The following is a 17807-nucleotide window of genomic DNA, read 5'->3' on the forward strand; positions in this document are numbered from 1 at the left end:
CTTTAAATGTCCAGGCTGCTGTTGTCATATGAATGTCTTGAGTCTGTTCCTAAGAGTCAGACTTTATGATTAGATTAGTTTTAACTTCAATTCAGTTCATGTTTTCTGCCTACCATAGTTAAAGGCATTGTAGGAATCACTTGAACCAAACAATAATTACTCTCTTTACTTTCACTAGTTACCTCTCCTATTCTGCATTGTAAATAGTCATGAATGAAATTCATATTATCACTCAGCAAGCAAGGAGATGCAATTCCATTTTGTTTCTTCATCACCAATAAATTTGACCACTAATATGTTAAGTCTCAAATTGTATACATTTAATTTTTCTCTCTGACAGGGCAGACAGTTTACAGAAGAATCAAGACCTGGAATTTGAAAGAAATAGAGAGCGATTTGAATTTTTAAAGGTATGGGCAGGGTCTGGTTCCATTGTTTGGTTTTCTTTGTAGGCAGGGTACGAGGGAGAGATGCCAAGGAGATGGGCTGAGTAGAAGTACTTCACGCGTTCATAGTGTTCTTTCCATTTGTCAATCCCAGTGGGGTTCCCAGGCTTTTCACAACATGCGGATTATTCCCCCTGGCTCAGGAATCATCCACCAGGTGAATTTGGAATATTTGGCAAGAGTGGTATTTGATCAGGATGGATATTATTACCCAGACAGCCTCGTGGGCACAGACTCGCACACTACCATGATTGATGGCTTGGGCATTCTTGGTTGGGGTGAGTGTTCTTCCATATATGCTGTTTTGGGGCATGCACTTTAATTCACTGTGATTCTATTACATCTCAGTAACATGAATTTACATGACCACAAGTTTCCGAGAGGTATGTTTGTCAGTTTTGTCACTGCTGTTTTTCCAGTGCCTAGAGAATCACTTTGCACCTAGCAGGCACTCAATAATTATGCTTGGAAGAATGAACAGAAGCAAGGGGTTAGGTACATTTAGCATACACAAAAATCACCTGGGGTGTTAAAAATAGAGACTCCCAAAGCTTACTCTTCTTTGCATGTGGCATCAAGGGGATTTTGATACAGGTGTTTGGGGGACCATGCTTTGAGAAACATTTGTTAAAAAATTCTATAAAGGAAAATGGAGAAAAAATAACTGCTCTTTATAGAAACATGACTCTGCACCAATTAAACGTTGTAACTGGGTTTATTACCTGTTAATGTCACTAAATTTATACCTGAGAGATAGAGTAAGGGGTAATGAAGGCATTCTTCCGGTCATGCCGTTCATTGCAGGTGTCGGTGGTATTGAAGCAGAAGCTGTCATGCTGGGTCAGCCAATCAGTATGGTGCTTCCTCAGGTGATTGGCTACAGGCTGATGGGGAAGCCCCACCCTCTGGTAACATCCACTGACATCGTGCTCACCATTACCAAGGTAACAATGTGCATCCTCTTCTGTGGTCTTGGAAAGCCACAATGATAGCTTTCCAATGGAGGGAATACATAATGGAATCTTGTTTGGTTTCCAAGTGCTCTAGCAATGCAAGGAAACAAGGTTGATGATTTTAAAAGGAGATGAGGTAAGGGAAGTGTTCTATGTTAAGTTTAGATCATTATGTTTGTTTTCTTCTAGTATTGCTGCATCGATCTTTTTCTTAAAGGAAATTTTTTAAACTGAAATAGTTCAATGATACAGAAATTAAGATGGCATTCATATGCCCACCACCTAGATTTAACAGATGATACCATTTTGTCATAGTTGCTTCAGAGCTCTCTGTGTTTTTAAAGAAATAATATGTAATATCTGTGGCTAAAGCCACATTCCCCATTTCTAGAAATAATCACTATCCTGAGGTTGTAAGAATCATTCCCATGCATGTGTTTATGCTTTCACTACATGTTTTCCACATGGTTCTTCCTTTTATGTAAATAGCAAGGTAGTTCCATGAATAGAGTTTTACTTTTTAAATTCTCTTCTCTGTATTATAAGTTACATTATTGTAACATATATGTCACCAAGCTGGAAAGTATTAGGCTTTTTCTGTAGCTGTTAGAGGAGACCATCTTTTTCTGTGATTTGCTTGTTTTGTAAAAAGGCCATTTCGTTTTGGAAGACTCTTGCAAAAGCAATGGTTTTTAATGATCACAAACATAATTTTTTTTGCTTTTATAGTTTGGAGGCTGGGGTCCTTTGCATGGACATGCTATCGTTAAAGTGCAAAACACATTTCTCTCTGATTTAATTTTTGTGAAATTTTGAATTGGATTTATTTGAATACCATAGCTTATCACAAATGTCTGTGCACTGTTCTTAAGATGTGGAATACTACAGGACTTCCTCACAAAATTTGGCAGAATTCCATATTACCAAAAGAGCCCATCTGTGTGGTTGTAGCTAGAAACTGGCTTTATGCAGAGCTAAGTCAGTCACTGTGGCCTCACTCCTGGCTGGTGCCTTGTGTGGAAAAGATATGGGAATCTTTTGGTTACATTTGACTTATACTTGTAGCATGAATTTTGCTCATTACGCCTTTGAAAAGTTATTTTCTTAACTAGTGCAAGTAGTTATTTAGGTTGAAAGAATTTAATATGTAGCACTTCCAGACGCTTCCAATGATCTCATTAGAGAAAGAGAATGTTTCTCATCTTGAAATATTTTTCTTAATATCATTTGTATTTTGGGCACACTTTGTCTTTCTTTTTATAAATAAAAACTATTTGACATCATCTTAGATTTATGGGAGAGTTAGTATAAAGAGTACAGAGAATTCCTGTTATCTTTCTCCCAGCTTCCCATAATGTTAACATCTTAAATAACCATGGCACATTTATCGAAACTAAGAAGTTAACATTGGTGTGGTACTCTTAACTACAGACTTTACCAGTTTTTTCAGTAATGTCCCAGAATTCTGCTCCAGAATCCAATCCAGGATACCATGTTGCATTTAGTTGGCATTGTTTTTTAAGTTTTGAAAGTGATCACAAATGTGTTGGGCTGATTTACTATTTGGGTTTACTGACAAGACTAGTTTATAAGAAGTGCAAGATGGTAGTTCTGCATTTTGAATGTGGGCCATCAGATCTCAAACTTTTCTGTTGTTTCTGCTGCTTAGCACCTCCGCCAGGTTGGGGTAGTGGGCAAATTTGTCGAGTTCTTCGGGCCTGGAGTAGCCCAGTTGTCCATTGCTGACCGAGCTACGATTGCTAACATGTGTCCAGAGTACGGAGCAACTGCTGCCTTTTTCCCAGTTGATGAAGTTAGTATCACGTACCTGGTGCAAACAGGTAAGTGAAGGGCCCTGAAAGCATCGGGCTTTTTGTAAAAGTTCCATGAAACACCAAGAATCTGAGCACTGCCTTCTGCCTCTACCCAACAGAAGGCACTGGGTTACAGTTACACAATTATTTTTTTCTCCATGGAGTCAAAATGGGTTTTTGGGATTTAAGGAGTTAATATGAGATAGAGATGGTATGGCCAATAGAAAGAGCTCAGAGATTACAGAAGCCTGGATATTTATACTGGTCCTCTACTACTAGTTTTTTGACATTAAACAAGTGATCTTAGTAATGGTTACTGCTGCCTATGGGGTACTTGCTGTGTACCAGGTACCTAGTATGTATTTGCTGTCAACCTCTTTACAGATCTGTAGGGTAGATTGATTGACTAGTTAATTAACATTAGAGAAAACTGAGGAGCAGAGAAGTGTTCATACCCAAGGCTAATAAACAGCAGAGTCAGAATCCAACCCTGCAACTGCCTGGCCCCATACAGGAACAGCACTCTGCAACACCCCTCTCAGGGATGTCTAAAAAATGAAATGAGTCCAGGCATGGTGGCTCACTCCTGTAATCCCACCACTTTCAGAGGCCAAGGCAGGCAGATCTGACCTGAGGTCAGGAGTTCGAGACCAGCCTGGCCAACATGGCGAAACTCCCAGGAGGTGGAGGTTATGGTGGGCCGATCTCGCACCACTGCGCTCCAGCCTAGCCAACAGAGAGACTGTCTCAAAAAAAAGAAAAAAGAAAAGAAATGAGAGTGTGATGTGATAATGAGAAAGAAAGGGGAGGTGGCTGAAGTACCCCAGAGGTGCTTGCACAGATCTCTGGATGAAGTGAAGGGACAGCCATGGGAAGGGTTTCATGAGAATCTTACAGACTCCAAATAAATCTTAGTCTTCTGCTGTAGCCTGAGGAAATTCCTCTAGAAATAGTAAAGATTGTCATGAAAAAGTTTATTTAAAGAAGTTTTTATTAAATATAAACACATTGAAATTGATTAATACATCTTTGTTCTCCCAAAGGATTTTAAGTGAAAAAGATAACTAAAAGAACAGAATAAATAATTGAGGGAATCAACCTAAAGAAAGAGAGGGATAGTGTGCTGGGTAGAGGGATAAAAGCTGTGAGATGGATCTAGAGGGAAGGTTAGTTGGTTAGTTCCCGTGGTGCTGCAGGTGGCCATTATACTTCTTGGTAATCCAGTGCCAAATTTGTAACATCTATTAAATTGAAACAAACATATTGCTTCAGAATAGTGTAGCCCTTTCTCATAGTAAACCCTAAGAAAGATTTCTCCTGTTCATCTTCATGAAGAGCATGGCATGGGTTGTAGTGAACAGCGGGCTCAACAACAGGTCAGGACAAATACATTAGTGAAGCTCATACAGCTGTCTTTTATGAGGTCTGTGCTGAGAGCTAATGACGTTTACAGTTCAGCTAAAACAAATAGACAAACAAAAGTTCTGATCAGTGGTAGGATCAGCCAAAGGATCAAACCTTCTGTTTCTAACCATCAGAGAAATTGTGGACTGCATGTCCGTTGGGCATACTTCATGAGTATTATCTCCTACCCCGGGATCTTGATAAAAGTTAAATAGCAGAGGGTTCAAGGTCATATTCCTGGTGATGCAGCATCGTGAGTTAAGACTTTGAACTTTTGGGTCAAGCTCTGGTTTGGATTTTGGTTCTACCGTTTACTGGCTGTGTTACATGAGAAAGTTACTTAGTCTTCTTGAGCCGCCATTTCCTTATCCATAAATGAGAATAATAATTGTACTTGTATCTTAAGACTATGATAAAGGATTAGAGATTGAGGTAATACATTTAAAATGTTTAGGACACAGTGCCCAGAAAGTGCTCAGTAGCCAGTGGTTTCAGGTGGGGTTGGGATGCGTTTTAATTTTAACGGTAATCATGTGGAATGCTGAATCTTTGTGGCCAGTTGAAGGCAAATGCATAGGTGTGCTTTCACAATTAGCTCAGGTGTAAGATTCTCCTAATTAAAGGCTATACCCCAAAAGAGGCGGGTTATCTATAGATAGAACCAGAATCTTTTTCAGAAAACAGTCACTTTGATAGGAACAGCACATTCATTAATGGCCCCTAATAAAAAGCAGCATCAGTGGGAGAGTCAAACCATTAGCCTGGAAGCCTAAAAATTGACAGAGCTGTTGGTGTGTGTGTAAGTGCAGCGTATGTTGCGTACTTACATAATTGCTAATGGAAGTATCAGTTTATAAACTTCAACCAGGAAATACTAACCTATGTTACTTGTTACTCCTTAAAATGCCTTTTAGGTCGTGATGAAGAAAAATTAAAGTATATTAAAAAATATCTTCAGGCTGTAGGAATGTTTCGAGATTTCAATGACCCTTCTCAAGACCCAGACTTCACCCAGGTATGAGAGTGCCTTCCACTGTGCATGTATTTCCTCTTCCTCAAGGCTGCGATTTTAGTGGTGGTTTTTCTTGGGGGAATGCGCTAGTAGGAAATTAGTCACTGCCAAGGCATTACAAGAGAACGGAGTTTTAGAAGGTTGAAAAACCAAAAGGATAAGGCAATTGTAAACATAACAGAATAATATAACTTCTTACATTCCTACTGGCTTAATAATTGTAGGTTAAGTGTGCTTCCCTATTTGAACTACTGATTCACACCTCTTAATGTGGAAGACCACTGAAAGACTTTGCTAAAGGAATAAGAATGATACAATGGACTTTGGGGACTCAGGGCAAAGGGTGGGAGGGAGGTGAAGGATAAAAGATTACAAATTTGGGTACAGTGTACACTGCTCAGGTGATGGATGCACCAAAACCTCAGAAATCACCGCTAAAGAACTTATTCATGTAACCAAACACCACCTGTTCCCCAAAAATCTATTGAAATATAAAGAAAAATAAAGAGACTTCACTAGTGGAACAAGAGCTGTTTAAAGGCTAAACCATCATTATTACAGACCTAGAAAGAAGTGAAGGTACAAACATGTCAGTAAACTGAATCCACGTTTTTCTAGACAACAAGGTAAACTAGCCCTGCGACCCATGTTTGGTTTCTTAATACATTGAGGAGGGGAAATGTTCAGTTAGACTAAGGCCCGTTTCCTGGTGTTGATAACTTAACGGCTGCATCCCTCCGAAATCACCTTAGAAGTGTAATGGTTTATGTATGATTTCAATAGAAAACCCACCTTCGGCCTAACTTAGCCATATAAAACGCGATGAGCTGCCTCCAAGGATGGGCGAGTGGAGGACACTGAGCATCTGCAGCACCCACCCTGTTCTTTCTGAGAGGTGGCAAGGCTGCCTGCCTGTCTCCTGCTACTTAAGTGCCCATGATGATCTTGGGAAATTAATCACTTAAGATTAATTAAGAGGATTAAGAGAAACACTGGCTTCCTTGTTTTGGAATGTGGTAGTTTATTTGCTTATTTTTATGGTTGTCATGTTTTAAATTCTCTGACATGCTTTGGGTTTCCTCTTTGTGGGTATAATGTAAATTCTATAATTTCTTTTCTTTGGGGTCAACAGGTTGTGGAATTAGATTTGAAAACAGTAGTGCCTTGCTGTAGTGGACCCAAAAGGCCTCAGGACAAAGTTGCTGTGTCCGACATGAAAAAGGACTTTGAGAGCTGCCTTGGAGCCAAGGTAGGGGCCTGCGGGAAGAGGTTGAATCCTCTCAACTCTACCTCTTGCCTGGTTACTCAGCGTCCAGGCTTTCATCCCACTTGACATGAATCTTCCTGTAGCCTGAAGCTTGAGGGTGTTTATTCTTCCTTCTGAAGTCCTTAATGACTTCCTCCATTAGTCACGAGCCAAGCGGCAAGAGCCATCATAGACACAACTCAACCCACCTTTTTAAGCATGTCTGCTTTTCACAGGACCCTCACCACACTGTTTACTCACCCGAGGTTTTCTAGCTGTTGCACCTTTGTGCATGCCCCTCCCTGCCTGAAAGTCTCTTCTCCAACTCATATTACTCTGTTCTGTGAACTCCATAAGACTTGGTTCAGATACCAGCTACTCTGCATTGGGTTCTCAGAATCTCATAGCAGAAAGTCCCCTTTCCCTTATTGGACACTTCATGGTGCTTGGGCTGAAATACTTCGATAGCATTCCATATTCTTTAACTTACATTGTTGGTACTTTATTTGCATGTATGATTTCTGTTGCTAGACTGTACGTGTGAGAATAGGATTTGTGTCTGAATCACCTTGGGAGCCCGCAAGGTACCTAGCACAGTATCTTACATGCGGTAGATTTTCAATGAACATTTCCCAAAAGAATGATTAAGATGTATGATGGATTTTATCTGTGAGACACCAGTATTATGCCAAATATTCAGCTGTACTTTGTTTGCGTTGTTGATCATGATTAATTGAGTCTGGTCAAAATAGCGCCTTTTTCTAAATTTCCATAAGGTTAGAATCCATAGTCTTAATCAGTCCATATCCATTAAACTGTACAATAATGTCATTGAGTTCAATTTAGACTAACTTTAAATTTGTAGTTTTAGCATTTACATTTTTGAGGTGGGAAGGAAGTAATTGTTACTAATTTCAGTGCAGAGTAAGACTCAGATATCATGACTGCTTTTTGTAAAGATTTCAAACGAGTAATTTTTCTGTAGCATTTCAGAGTTTACTTGCAGAGATACTTATGCTTTTGTTAAGAATTGGCCTTTAAAATTATAGTTACCAAAGTATTCCTTCTTCTCAAGTGAGAACTGTTGACTATATGTATGTATTTTCCTCTAGCCAGATACATGTATATCTTATATAAATATATTCCTATATAATATACATTTTTTCTTCCTTTAGCAAGGATTTAAAGGATTCCAAGTTGCTCCTGAACATCATAATGACCATAAGACCTTTATCTATGATAACACTGAATTCACCCTTGCTCATGGTTCTGTGGTCATTGCTGCCATTACTAGCTGCACAAACACCAGTAATCCGTCTGTGATGTTAGGGGCAGGTAAGTGCATTTGACTCCATCCTCATGGTCATACATGTGTGTAGGTGGAAATAGCCCGAGACAGGGCCCAGGGCCTTGGCGGAGTTGTACATGTAGTTCCCTGAACCTCGTCTTTTCCAGATACAGATATTTATTGGCCCATAAATATCTACACAATAAATAGTATCCAAAGCAAAGTTTTTAAAATCGAATGCACACTGCATAATAGTCTCTCTTGAGAATTAACACAGAAAATAAGTAGAGGAAAGCAAAGGAAGCTGGATTTCTGGGAAAGCCTACATTCTTGTGTCAGACTTTGGAAGAAAAATAAAGTGTTACCACAGACTTTGTTCTCCGTGAAACCCCTGAGCAGCAGGATTGAGTTCTGACGTGAATGCTGGGAGGTGTTTCTCAGTGAGGGCACAGGGCACTGGCTGATAAAACCTGGGGCCACTGGCCTGTTTCGCAATTCTGGTTGAGTTGTTAATATTTACATATGTGGTTTCCCTACTATAAGGTCTCTTTAGTTTCCAAGTTTTTAGTCATCCCCAAAGCTCCTCTTATATCCATCCACAGACCAGACAGTGTCAGCAGTTCCTTTCTATGAAGCAGACACGGGCATTAGGAAAGCCTTCTTTGCCTGAGTCCGTGTATTGCCACCTAAGCTTTCCTTGTCTGGTCTGGAGCAAACCAGTCTTCTGTAGACAAGTTACCAGCTTGTCTGTGGCTTTTTGTCCCCTCATGTCCCCACCCCCACTGCTCATGTTTTTGCTACTTCTGTGATACTTCCTAAGACAGAGCACCCAGTGTTCCAGTAGCAGTCTCTGTATCTGCCAAAGTCCAGCAGATCCTCCACTTCAAGATATATCTGAACACTCGATTTTTACTTCTTGGCTGACCGTTCCTTGCCAGCCAGCACACAGCTGATATAGTTTCAGAAAGGGCTCCTTCAATGATGATTTTCATCCAAATAAAACATAATTAGAAAGATGATTTTCCCTCTAAAAAAAAAATTAAAAACTCATTTTGTAATATATTCCTAAATGGTTTTACATTTATCTCTTTAAAAAAAAAGTAAGCAAATCTCTTTCTTCATTTCCTTGCCTAGCTTTGAGTTTACTGCATATATCTAAATGACCGTTGGCCAGGGAGCCTTTAGATTTCTGTTTGGCAGCAGAAACAGCAGATAGCGCCAACATGAAGGGAGCGTGGTCAGGTGGTGGCAGGAAATGCAGACTGAAGAAAATCAGGCTCTTTTCTGAAGTGTGCCTGGCACCTAGAGCAGGCAGCCTCCCACACTGCATCTGTGTTTACCATTTCACAGGATTGTTAGCAAAGAAAGCTGTGGATGCTGGCCTGAACGTGATGCCTTACATCAAAACTAGCCTGTCTCCTGGGAGTGGCGTGGTCACCTACTACCTACAAGAAAGCGGAGTCATGCCTTATCTGTCTCAGCTTGGGTGAGGGAGAGTTTTCTTTTGCACCATTGCTTTTGTTGAATTGTATCCCTCATGTATCTTGCTGTGTCACCTTGTAACAGATGTGAGATTATCTGATGATATCTAATTGCATAGTCGTTTATCAGTTGGTAGTTAGACTTAAACCCTTACATTCCATCTAAAGAGAGCCCTCTTGCCCTCTAGGGCACCTACCATGAATGGAGTTTGCAGGACTGGAAGTTGCTTTGGTTGAGTCAGTGAATGAGTGGAGAGTGAATGTGAAGGCCTAGGACATTACCACACACTACTGTTGACTTTATAAACACTGGACACTTAGGCCACACTAACTTAATAAAAAAAAGTTTCTTTCTTCAATAATGTAAACCGTAGCTTACTTTTATTTTACAAACTTTTAAGTTTATTGAAACTCTTGACTCTTAAAACACTTAGCTTAAAACAAACATATTGTATAGCTGTTCCAAAATATTTTCTTTATATCTTTATTTCATAAGTTTTTTCCTATTTTTGAAGTTTTTATTTTTTTACTTTTTAAACTTTTTTGTTAAAAACCAAGACAGGCTGGACCCAGTAGCTCACACCTGTAATATCAGTGCTTTGGGAGGCCAGGGCAAGAGGATTGCTTCAAGCCAGGAGTTTGAAACTAGCCAGGGCAACATAGTGGGACCCCTGTTTCTACAAAAAAAAAAAATGTAAAACAATTAGCCAGGCATGGTGGTGCATGCCTGTAGTCCCAGCTTCTCGGGAGGCTGAGGCTGCAGGATGGCTTGAGCCCAGGAGTTTGAGGTTGCAGTGAGCTATGATCACGCCACTGTACTCCAGTTTGGGTGACAGCAAGACCCTGTCTCAAAAAAAAAAAAAAAAAACCTAAGAGATAAACACACACTTTAGGCCTACACCGGGTCAGGATTGTCAGTATTACTGTCTTCTACCTCCACATCTGTCCCACTGGAAGGTCTTCAGGGGCAATAACATCCATGGAGCTGTCATCTCCTGTGATAATAATGCCTCCTGGAATACTTCCTGAAGAACCTTCCTGAGGCTGTTCTACACTTAACTGGTTTGCTTTTTTTTTTAATAAACAAAAAGAGTACACTCTAAAAGAACAATAAAAAGTCAGCATGGCTGGGCGCGGTGGCTCATGCCTGTAATCCCAGCACTTTGGGAGGCTGAGGCAGGCAGATCACGAGATCATGAGATCGAGACCATCCTGGCTAACACGGTGAAACCCCGTCTCTACTGAAAATACAAAAAAACAAAATTAGCCGGGCGTGGTGGCGGGCACCTGTAATCCCAGCTACTTGGGGGGCTGAGGCAGGAGAATGGCATGAACCTGGGAGGTGGAGCTTGCAGTGAGCAGAGATAGCGCCACTGCACTCCAGCCTGGGCAACAGAGCGAGACTCCGTCTCAAAAAAAAAAAAGTCAGCGTGAGTTTGTTTATACCAGCATCATCATAAACAAGAAATGCCTTGCACTGTGACATCACGATGGCTACAACATCACTAGGTGATAGGAATTTTTCAGCTATATACCACATATACATTTGGGTATATGTGGTCTATCACTAACAGAAACATTGTGCAGTGCATGAATGTATTCGTTGCCAAATACGCTTTCTCCAATTTCCATATTATTCCTGACTTATGACATATATTTTATTCATGTGCCTCATAAAATTCAAATCTCCTTAGGATTATACAATAATAGTAGTTAATGAAGATATGGCATATATGATTTCAACTTTTTTAAATTGTTGCTCATTCAATTTGATTCCTTTTTATAAGTTAAAAATATGAATAGTATTCTTATGTTATATATCAGAATGCTCTCAAGAATGAAACTTTTAGAAATAGCACTATACTGAACTTAGTTCATGCACTGCAATTCCTTTTTGAACAGTGGTCTCTGGAAACTGTGGCCAGCAGAAGGGCTCACTGAAAGTTATTCTTTTTTTGTGTGTGTGTGCTTCTCTCTTGGTGTCTAGGTTTGACGTGGTGGGCTATGGCTGCATGACCTGCATTGGCAACAGTGGGCCTTTACCTGAACCTGTGGTAGAAGCCATCACACAGGTAATTGCAGAGGTCCCTGCAGGTCTTCAGAGCAGTTGTTTCTTTTCATGTAATGTGACAAAAATGCTGATATTTTCAAGAAGGTCCATGGAAGCAGGGGATGTGGTTTAGAGTATGATCTTTTGAGTTTAGTTAAAATTACTAGCTGGGTAACCTTGGGCAAGTTAATTAACCTATCTGTGCCTGGGTTTTCACAACTGTATATTGGAGATGATAATAGTATCTATTTTATAGAGTTGTGAGAATTAAGATGATGATAAACATAAGTCACTTAGTGCAGTGTCTGGCACTCAAGTGCTCAGTACTGGCTGGTTTTCACTACAAAGGGCTCTACAGTTGTTTGTTATAGGTATTGGGTTAGTGCAAAAGTAACTGTGATTTTTGCCATTTCAGTGATGAAGACCACAATTACTTTTGCACCAACCCAAATAATTTGAAAATTGGTTCAAAGTGAGACAAGTCTCCACACAAACGAATCTAAACTAAATTGCTTTGGCTTGATTTTTATCCCCAAAATGCTGAACCTTGAAAGATATTATTTGGTTTGCTTTGCATTAATTATAGAATCTACGTATTCTATAATTGTGCATTGTGACTTCCTTTAACGATCAACTGTTAGGTCTTTCCCACCTGTTCTTGGGCCCCAGGCAGCAATAACTAGTATGTTGCCTTCTAACTACCTGATATTTTCTCGTGAGCAGAAATCACTAAACATGTCTCTGCTTCCTTTGACCCAGAGTATCTCCCATGGGGACACCCCAGTGTACCCTTCTCCCCTCTAGTGGGAGAGAACCAAGTGAAAGGGCAGCTTAAAGGACTGTATCCTTGCGATGTGGAAACTCTTGCCAATGGTCTGAGACAAGAAGCCTAGTCAGTATCTTTTAGTGACCTGATTTTTCTCTTGCCTTACTCAGGGAGACCTTGTAGCTGTTGGAGTACTATCTGGAAACAGGAATTTTGAAGGTCGAGTTCACCCCAACACCCGGGCCAACTATTTAGCCTCTCCCCCCTTAGTAATAGCATATGCAATTGCTGGAACCATCAGAATCGACTTTGAGAAAGAGCCATTGGGTAAGATTTTGTTTGTGCAGCCATAATTTTTTTCCAGTGAATTCAGAAATATTACTAGAAGAAACTGCTTTCCTTAATAAGAAATGAAGCATAGAGCCTCCAGGGATAAGACAAAGAAGAGAATAATTTCTTTATTCCCCAATATACAGCTAAGACTTAACTGCAGTAGTTAAAACAAGAATCTACTGAGGGTAAAGGATAACGAAAGGAAAACAGGTGCCAAAAGGAATAGACATCTTGCTATTCTGGTTTCTTCTGTAGTTCCTCCCTTTCTAGCTCTCACTTTAATGATAGGCATTGTTTCAATATATACTCTGTAGAAACATACTGCAGATATTTCAACTTCTCAGAATTCCAAAGAAATGATACATCATTTCCTTTCCCCAGATCAGCTTGCTTGCTCTGCCTGCCTCAATCTATTCTAAGCCGAATAGATAATATGAAAACAATGCCTCTGAAATTTACTTTTAGGAAATCATAACTTTAGACGTACAGTTGATCCTCGTTATTTGTGAGTTCTATGTTTGCAGATTTGCGTAGTCACTAAAATGTATTTTAACCCCCAAATCAGTATTTGTAGTATGTTCACGGTCATTCACAGATCAGCACAAAGGGGTGAAAACTTTATATCATTCAACACACACGTTCTATGCTGAGATCTGATAAGGCGTCACTCTGACTTCTTGTTTCAGCTCTCCTGCGATATATAAGGATCCTTTTCTTGGTCTACGTAGTGCCATGCTTTTTGCATTTTTGTGCTTTTTGTGGTGATTTTGCTGTTCAAAATGGTCCTTGAGCATAGTCCTGAAGTGCTTCTGGTGTTCTTGAGCACAAGCCGACTGTGATGCGTACTGTGTTTAGATAGGCTTCGCTGGAAGTTCAATGTCAGTGAGTCAACAATTGCTATTAAATAAGGTGAATAATAAACCTCACATGAAGCAAGGTTATGTATTGATGGGTGACCAGAGGCTTGCAGGAACCTAACCCTGTATTTCCTCCAGTGGCAGTGATTCCGTATCCAGTCATTCAGTGTTCACACGGGCTTTATAGAACATAACTACCGAGGAGAACGAGGCTTGACTCTGTATAATCATGAAAATTGCATATTAGAAAGTTTTCTCATTAATAAACATTTTTTCCCCAGGAGTAAATGCAAAGGGACAGCAGGTATTTCTGAAAGATATCTGGCCGACTAGAGACGAGATCCAGGCAGTGGAGCGTCAGTATGTCATCCCGGGGATGTTTAAGGAAGTCTATCAGAAAATAGAGGTGAGGTCCCACACTGCCCTCCCCGCCCCAGAGGATCTAAGGGAAAGCTGCTCCCTTTGTGTCCTGTCTGCAGACCTCAAGGCTAACGGAAGTATAAACTATATAAAGTAACATTTATTTCTTCAGATGACTGGGGAGGTGGTTCTCCGTCATTTTTCTCCTGTGACTCGCATTTTTACAAACCCCACCTCCCCCAGATGTTCCCAGATTTGGACAAGTTGGTGACAGCCTAGAGAAGAAAGGCCTCCTCAGGTTCAGCTCTCCAAAACCCCACGCCTTTCTCGGACACCCAGGGGTGTGTGTCAGCTGTGGCGAGGACCCCTGGTGGTCACTATATTGTGTCACTAAGTGGAGTCCATTGGTCGAATGCACCTCTCAGAATGCATTTTTGCACACTTAAAAATAAAGAAATTAAGGCCACTCAGTAGGAAGTGCCAAACTACTGAAATAAAACTTTCCGTGCATTTTACAAATAGGAGGAAATGTGTGGGGCTCAGCATTATATTCTGAGACTCTTGGATATTATTCCTTTCCCCGCCTTCTGCATTCAGCTGACCCAAGGGCTTCTGACTGCGGCTGATGGTTTAAATGAGGGTAGAACTGTCTAGGGGAAGGGGTGATGTAGGTGTGATGTTCACACGCTGCACTCTTCACAAGGTGCTCCTTGGGAGATGGTGTTAGGGAGCTTGGCAGGCATTATGTTAAATGCCTTCCTCCAAAGGCCGAGTTAATGGACCTGTGGACAGAATTCAAACCAATTTTAATGCATAGCAGCTGTCATTTGCTACCCAGTGTTTGTGTGACCTGGAAGGCCACTTCCCAAAACACTCAGAGAGTAATTTCCCCTTTGGTACAATCTGGATTATTATTTCATAAGTTATTGATAAGCATATGCATTAGTTATCTATTGCTGTGATATAGCAATAGATATAGTGAGTTGAAACAACAAACATATATTGTCTCCCATTTTCTGTGGGTCAAGAATCCAGGCACAGCTTCACTGTGTACTTTCACAGGGTTCCAGTAAGATGTCATCTGGGGCTGCAGTCTCTGGAGGAGGGTCCACTTAGGCTCACTCATGTGGCTATTGGCAGGATCAAGTTCCTCAAGGGCTGTTGCACTGAGGTCCTCCGTTTCTCACTGGCTGTTCGCTAGAAGCCTCCCTCAGCACCTTGCTATGAGGGTCTCTTCATGACTCACACATGGTAGCTGGCTTCCATCAGAGCAAGAGAGCAAGAGAGTCAGAAGGCAGGTCTCAATAATCTAATCTAGGAGATAGTCACTAGCTTCAGCCCACACTCAACAGGAGGGGGTCAACTAAGGATGTGAATCCCAGGAGGCAGGATCCCTCCTGCCATCCTAGAAGCTGCCTATCACGGTGCATATGTATGTTGTTGTTTGTTTTTCAGAGACCAGGTCTTGCTTTGTCACCCAGGCTGGAGTGCAGTAGTGTCATCATAGCTCACTGCCACCTCAAATTCCTGAGCTCAAGCAATCCTCCCATCTCAGCCTCTCGAGTAGCTCGGACTACAGGCACATGCCACCACACCCAGACAATTTTTTTTTTATTTTTGTAGAGACATGGTTTTGCCATCTTGCCCAGGCTGGTCTTGAGCTGCTGGGCTCAAGCCATCCTCCCACCTCAGCCTCCCTAAGTAATGGGATTAATAGATGTGAGCTACCATGCCCAGCCCACAGTGTCTCTGGATTTTTAAGTTACTTAGCATGACCCACTATTAGTATAAAGGAACTCTTGTATGTGGCTATTGAGAATAAAAATGGTTCTTAGTGTACCTTTTAGCTTGAATGTATGTTTTGTGTTTGCATATTAAATTTTCTCTGGAATGGGATGTGATTAGATCTGCCTTTCTTTTCTTTTTTAAGACTGTGAATGAAAGCTGGAATGCCTTAGCAACCCCATCAGATAAGCTGTTTTTCTGGAATTCCAAATCTACGTATATCAAATCACCACCATTCTTTGAAAACCTGGTATGGCTTTTTATTTTTTAACAAAATGAATTCTTTGAAGGGTTTCTTTCCTAATAATATCTACTTTATTACCCCATGCTCTTGCTTTGACTACCCATTTTATTAAACCCTTTGCAAACCCAAGCAGATACTGCTGGGGAAAGTTTTGGGAGGCTGGGATATTTGGCTGCCGTGGGTCTATAGTTTCTCTATGCAGGGGTTCTGCGTGGATGTACACAGCCACCCTAGTAATCACCTGGACTTAAACCTAGTAGAGTCTGAGGGACTGTCCCAGGAGACCATCCCCAGAGCCCACCATAGTGAACCTTATACCCATAAAAACCAGGGACATTGTCCCTGAAACTGATGATCTAGAAGTTGGTGCTCTCCTGGGTGGGTCACTGTGGGAAGGGATGCAGTAGAAGTGAGGATTCCAGTTGTCCTTAGCATCTGAGGAGTTCTAGGGATGTGAAGAGAGAGAATGTCATTTGCAGCTGCGTTACTGTTGCTTTTGAGGGGATATTGCCAGTATTTTACCTTTTCTTCAAGAGTAAGATATGAATGTTTTGAGTAAATTCACCTTACTTTTCTTGGCCTCTTTGATAAAAACTAGAACACTAGAATTTTCTGTGCATTGGTGTGGAACTGTCCTCTGATTCAGGTCCATGGGCCACCATCGTAGAGACTGATCTGGTAACTTGTTTGGGAAAACCTGGGCCAATGCTGACTTTTTGTATTCTTTGCTAGACTTTGGATCTTCAGCCCCCTAAATCTATAGTGGATGCCTATGTGCTGCTAAATTTGGGAGATTCGGTAACAACTGACCACATCTCCCCAGCTGGAAATATTGCAAGAAACAGTCCTGCTGCTCGCTACTTAACTAACAGAGGGTAAGTATGAATGAGGCAGGAAGGACTAAAGGCAAAAATGGAGGAATGGAGTTAATGAGGCCAGCATTTCTCTTTTCACCTGGCCCTTTGGAATGAGACTCTTTGGTTGTGCACTGAGGCTTAACCCTGGGGTAAAAACCAATTGCATTTTCTGTTTGCTGCTTAACAGCTTCCATGGGAGAAACGATCAACATGTGAATCCTAACAAGGGGAAGGGGAGAGGGACCTTCATTTGAGCAAGTGTATATATTAGGCCCAACTGTCATCCCTGCCCCCGGCTTGGCTGATCTTTAAAGTACAAGGCTCTGCTCTTAACCTGGGGCAGAGGCAGAACCTGACACGCATTGCCAGGTCCTGGTTGAGAAACCTAACGTTTACAGAGCACTGCTTGGAGGATTTGCAGCTTACTCATCTGTTTATCAGTTCTTCAGTAGTGTGCTGATATTCATAGGTATGCCAGTATTATCAACTACTGTCTCATATATTAATCGAGGTCAGTGGTTCCCCAATCTGAGTTTCCACGAGAATCACGTGAGGACATAAAAATTCCTGGTTTCTATCCCCATCTGCTGAATCAGTTCTTTCAGTGATTCCCCAGAGCGAATTTGAGGAACAGAATCCAAATGCCTTTTTTCTATTGATTGTTGAGCCCTTTTGAGGCATGAACACGTCAGAGAATTGAATGAAAGCAAATCTAATGCCTTCCCAGAAAAATGCACATACCCACAACATTTTGGATAGTTTCAGGGATTCCAAGACATACTCACCTGCTCCTGTAACCCATTAAACTCTCTCAGTCCTTAAATTCTATCTAACCATTGATTAAATAATATTAACACACCCACCCCCTAGTATTTTAAGGAACAGCTCAGTGAACTGGTCACGGTGTTAAT

At 41.0% G+C, this 17807-nt stretch overlaps 1 protein-coding gene across 4 annotated transcripts in view; it reads left to right on the forward strand.

Annotated features, from left to right (window-relative positions):
* The window catches only part of ACO1 (aconitase 1), a 70127-nt gene that overhangs the window by 33145 nt on the left and 19175 nt on the right, over positions 1-17807 (forward strand). For all 4 annotated transcript variants that reach the window (NM_001278352.2, NM_001362840.2, NM_002197.3 and 1 more), the window contains 13 exons: positions 341-410; positions 541-724; positions 1251-1390; positions 3069-3240; positions 5532-5632; positions 6762-6878; positions 8051-8210; positions 9514-9649; positions 11632-11716; positions 12631-12787; positions 13932-14056; positions 15941-16045; positions 16772-16914. In NM_001278352.2, the coding sequence (NP_001265281.1) occupies positions 341-410; positions 541-724; positions 1251-1390; positions 3069-3240; positions 5532-5632; positions 6762-6878; positions 8051-8210; positions 9514-9649; positions 11632-11716; positions 12631-12787; positions 13932-14056; positions 15941-16045; positions 16772-16914 (1695 nt within the window). The remainder of the gene's footprint in view (positions 1-340; positions 411-540; positions 725-1250; positions 1391-3068; positions 3241-5531; positions 5633-6761; positions 6879-8050; positions 8211-9513; positions 9650-11631; positions 11717-12630; positions 12788-13931; positions 14057-15940; positions 16046-16771; positions 16915-17807) is intronic.

Source organism: Homo sapiens, chromosome 9 (assembly GCF_000001405.40).
Source record: "Homo sapiens chromosome 9, GRCh38.p14 Primary Assembly".
NCBI classification, from domain to species: domain Eukaryota; kingdom Metazoa; phylum Chordata; class Mammalia; order Primates; family Hominidae; genus Homo; species Homo sapiens.